Source organism: Homo sapiens, chromosome 13, assembly GCF_000001405.40.
Source record: "Homo sapiens chromosome 13, GRCh38.p14 Primary Assembly".
NCBI lineage: Eukaryota > Metazoa > Chordata > Mammalia > Primates > Hominidae > Homo > Homo sapiens.
This window is the reverse complement of record NC_000013.11, coordinates 26,072,665-26,077,871: the sequence shown is the minus strand read 5'-3', so window position 1 is coordinate 26,077,871 and position 5,207 is coordinate 26,072,665. Positions and strand designations below refer to the sequence as shown.

General features: G+C 45.2%; 1 annotated feature.

Annotated features, from left to right (window-relative positions):
* Positions 861-1,075: a silencer, noted in NCBI's record as "fragment chr13:26650935-26651149 (GRCh37/hg19 assembly coordinates)". NCBI's record gives its function as "represses an EF-1alpha promoter that drives an FKBP-Casp9 reporter gene in an ReSE screen in K562 erythroleukemia cells {active_cell/tissue: K562}" and the evidence as "EXISTENCE:reporter gene assay evidence [ECO:0000049][PMID:32094911]".

Below are 5,207 nucleotides of genomic sequence, written 5' to 3'. Positions count from 1 at the left end.
AGGCAGTTATTTAAGTCAGTTCATATTTTGAAAGATCACAGGTTGATCTACACTGGCGCTATAAAAAACATCAGTGCGTTTTTACAATTTATTTCTAGTTTTTACCCAAGACCTAATTCTAACATGAACACATAAGCCATTGGTAATATGAACCGGATAATACGTAGTTACTCTAGTTCACATCACATGTTTAAACACTTCTGGAGAACTCCAGATCACGTGATAAATGGCTGTCAGTGGCAAAGTAGTTTCCTCTCTTAGAGAAAGGGGCAGGAGGTGGTAACACTCTCAAAAGGTGGCTAAGACGCACTTGAAATGTGTCCGGAGCATCATAAAATTGCATGACAAGAATAGAGAGGGAAAGCCTGGAAGAGAATACAGAACCCTCAAGGGCCCACCATGCCAGTGTACCCAGCACCAGAATTATCTGCAGCTTAAGGAGAAGGTGTCCCATGCACTAGTGGCCATGATCATTATTGGCAGCTCCTCCAGTACGTGACTTTTGTTTATGTATTAACAAAGACAAGAAACCTAACCAACATTATCACCCCTCTATAAGTTCAGAGAAGAATAGGTTGGCAGTAGAGAAATATGCTTGGGAAATGCTGTGAAACGACGTGTATGAAGTGAACCAAGCAGAAGCCAAGAAATGACAGAATACATTGAAAAGAGAGTCGCCCCTCATCACTGCTTAGTAAAATCCTTGTCCTATCGCAACATCATGCAGTGCAGCAGCCTGCTGGGGTCTGAGCACGTTGCAGCAGGAGCTTCCTTTCTACTGTTCCAGGTTTTGTCAAGTAAGTAAGACTGAGGAGCCTGTGCAACATCCACATGGAGATGTAAGGGGAGCAGCTGAGCGCACAGATGGAGAGCGCAGAGAAGGGGCTGCAGGCAGAGCTCTCAGTCATTGGTCTATGGGAGGCTGCATGAGCTGGCTCAGGAGAGTTGAGAGAAAGAAGAGAAGGAAACCAAGGCCTGAATCTCCAGGGGTCTTAGGATACTTGCTATTTGTATGATAACACAACCCCAGTATTAACCCCCAAGTCTTCAGTTAATGTCTAAAACACACTGCCACCTTAATAGCGTTTGGGAAATCTGGGGAAAATGCCTGGGTTCTATTCTGGGTTCAGCACATACAGAATGACTCTGAGTGAAAAGGGAACGTCTGCAGGGTCACCAACAGCAACTCACTGAAATCTCTAAAAGGGCTGAGCTCCCAGAAGGATGTGTGGGGAGTGGGAGAATGGGAGGCAGTTGAATTAATATATATATGTATTTTTTTTGAGACGGAGTTTTGCTCTGTGGCCCAGGGTGGAGTGCAGTGTCAAGATCTTGGCTCGCTGCAGCCTCTGCCTCCCAGGTTCAAGTGATTCTCCAGCCTCCCAAGTAGCTGGGACTACAGGCGCCGGCCACCACACTTGGCAATTTTTTGGGGGTGTTCATCATGCTGGCCAAGCTGGTCTTGAACTCCTGAGCTCAAGTGATCTGCCCACCTCAGCCTCCCAAAGTGCTGGGATTACAGGTGTGAGGTGAGCCACTGTGCCTGGCCAGTTAATGTGAATTTAATGTCAGCACATAGAGTGCCTTCAGCTGATACGTGGCTCACTTGAGCAATTTTCAGTCATGTCAGGTGTATGATATGATTCGTCAATACTTTAATCTGCATGTGTATTGTAATAAATATTTCCTGTGCAGTCACTCTGCCACACATTTTGCTGGGCCCTGGGGTGACAGCAGGAAACAAAAACCTGTTGCCTGAGCTCATATAGGTTACAGTCAGGTCAGGGAATAGATACACAATTTGTTTTTACAGAGTCTTGTCAATTCCCAGAAAAATTCCCTGTCCCCAGCCAGGAGGCTCCTTGAGAAAAGATTTCCTAAAACTAACAAAAACAAAAACTAACCCAACCATGGACCACCCTAGGTAAATCATTTGGGAAAACTTCCTGCTCCAAAACTCCTTGCTAAAGTGTCTTTTCTGCTCAGGAAGACTTTTATTTTTTAAGGCTCCCTCTTGGGATGGAACTTTCTAAAGGTAATGTGTCTGCAGTCTCTTGCCTGCCTACATTTCTCAAAGCTATTTGCTCAGACTTTCTGTTTGCTCTTTGGTTTTCCCAAGAAAACCAAGGACACTAGATGGAACCCATGGTCCATCATTTTCCTCTCAATACAGGCCAGCCACCGGCCACATGCGGCTTCGGGTGTTTCCTCCACTCTGCTGACTTCTGCACGTGGTCCACTGCTGATCCCCAGCTTAGGCAGAATAAAATGCATCTTCACTAGGAAATACGCGATTACACACCAAGATCAGGCTTTTCCTGAATGTGGCTTTTTACCCCTCATGTCAGTATTTTTTTTAATTAATTAATCTCAGATGAGGTGTCACTATGTTGCCCAGGCTGTTTCAAACCCCACGCTTAAGAAATATTCTGCCTCAGCCTCCTGCCTACTGAGTAGCTGGGACTGTAGGTGTGTGCACTGCCCCTGCCCAAGTCAGGATTTGTCAGGTTATCCTAAAGATGACTTTTATGGAACTACGCCCAGAAAGACCAGCCACATCTAATACTTAGAAAAATAAAAACAAAAATTAAGATACCCCTGGATAAGTCACTTCTCAAGGATTTTGCTTCTGCAGAACCAAGAAAGCCACCTGCCCCTAAAGCCTCATGGCGTTTTCAAACCAAGGAATCATCTTTTCTATGCGGGTGGGAGCCAGGACCACTCCAGGTCCCAGAAAAGAGAACTCGCTATATGGTTTTTGTTTGTTTGTTTATTTTAAGGTCCAGGGTGGTCCTGAAATTTGTGTGAGGAGTCAGCCTTGATTTTTGGGAAGTCACCCGGTTTCAGTTCACGGCCGCCCACGCTGGTAACTCTGGGCTTTTTAGGGTGGAGTGAGGCCTCGGGAAGCTCTTCAGCCGACTCAAAGGGAAACCAGCTTCTGGACGTGGCCAGGGGGAGTGTGCTGCCCTCTCCCGATGACACACCGTGTTCCTGGGTTCATTCAGTGGATATAGCCGAAGATTGTTTTACCAGGCATAGTTCACATTCTTTTAATTCTTGGGAAAAAGTAAGGCGTGACTGTCATGTTCATCTGCGGCATCTCAAAAGGTCAGAGACGCTGTGTTTTGAAAATATTATCCCTGGACCGTGAAAGCACGAAGCACGGGAAGCTGTGGACTTAAACCTGCTTCCATTCTTCCCACTGCTTTGGATTCACTTAAGTCAAACCAGGGGTGTTAGTCAATAAAAAGTGTTTCTATTTCCTTTGAATACAATTGAATTATCTTGCAATTTTATTAGTAAGATAAGTTTTGTTAGCTGTTATGCCTTATGATGTTTTTGAGCAGCCACACTAATTGTGCTCTGAAAAGTAGCGCCTTTGTGATTATAATAATTCAGTGTAGGAAAGAATGAACAGGTGGCTTTCTGATGGAAATAATATTTATTTATTTATTCTTATTTTTTTTTTTTAGATGGAGTTTCACTCTTCCCCCGGGCTGAAGTGCAGTAGTGCAATCTCAGCTCACTGCAACCTCTGCCTCCCAGGTTCAAGAGATTCTCCTGCCTCAGCCTCCTGAGTAGCTGGGACTACAGGCGTGCAGCACCATATCCGGCTAATTTTTGTATTTTTAGTAGAGATGAGGCTTCACTATGTTGACCAGGCTGGTCTTGAACTCCTGACTTCAGGTGATCCACCCACTTCAGCCTCTCAAAGTGCTAGGATTACAATCGTGAGCAACTGCGCCCGGCCCAGGAATACTTTTTCATTGAGGGGAAGAGGGAGTGGGTGGAGACTGACAATAAGGTACTCTTGAGGAAATATGGTAGAAGGGTGGATAAATATCAGCACATGAGGAGTTGCTTCACAAAAATATCCAACCTACTGACAAAAGAGTTGTGGAGTATTTCATGATACAATAGTGATCATTGTTCTGTGTCTGTGAGACCTCCTTGCGTCATTTTACCTTGGTCACTTCAAATCCTATAAACAAACATTTACTGAGATCTCATGTGCAGCGGGCACGGTGCTGGGGGTTTGGTCTCAAGGCTAAGGAGGTGGAGGAGATTGGGCTTCCAAGGAACAGGTGAATAAATAGATTCATTGAGTTGTGGTGGTTCTATTTCCTCTTCCCACCAAAACCACATGCGGGAAACATAGTTCCTCAAAGTCTGTGGTGTGGGTTTTAAGTTTTTTCATGTTCTTAGATCTAAAAGAATCAGGCCGGGCACAGTGGCTCATGCCTGTAATCCTAGCACTTTGGGAGGCTGAGGCGGGCGGATCACGAGGTCAGGAGATAGAGAGTATCCTTGCTAACACGGTGAAACCCCGTCTCTACTAAAAATACAAAAAACAAAAACAAAAATAGCCGGGCGTGGTGATGGGCGCCTGTAGTCCCAGCTACTCAGGAGGCTGAGGCAGGAGAATGGCGTGAACTCGGGAGGCGGAGCTTGCAGTGAGCCGAGATCGCGCCACTGCACTCCAGCCTGGGCCACAGAGCGAGACTCCGTCGCAAAAAAAAAAAGAAAAAGAAAAAGAAAAAAAAGAATTTTGAACATCAAATTTTAGAAGCTGCTAGTACAACTGGAAGAGCAGATATAGGTAAACCATTTTCTTCACTAGTTTGACCACATTATTTGATTGCTTCTCTAAAATGGGATTTCTTTTCTTTTCTTAATGGCCTCTCGTTTGTTTACTGAGAGATGCTTACTCTACTGTGTGTCTTACATCTAAACTAGATGGAGCAACACTGAATTCCGGGTGTAGTCAGATTCTTCTTCCTCCCATGGTCCAGTGTACACAAGGGCTTCCCGCCAAGTGCCCACCTCTGGTTCTCCTCCTGTCCTCACGGTTTTCCTCTTTGGCTATGGTCTCTGCTCAGCACTGGTCTTCTCTTTCCCACACTCTACTGCAGTGTATACACACGCAGCCTTGGTCCCTGTCCTCTCAGTAATTATTTCAGAAGACCTCCCGCGTTTATTCACGGGTAGCAGGCACCTCATCACGTCCTCGAGCTCCTCTTGGCATCCTTAATTAGCCCCCACATTGCAGCCAGAGTGAATTCCATGCACACAGCCATCAGCAAGCACCAGGCCTCTGCCTACCGCGCTTAAATATTTATTGTTATAATAATAAAAAAGGAGGAGGAAGCTTTCGTAAATAAGGATGATGAATTAAAATTCACTGTGATGTAAATTGTTCTGGGTTA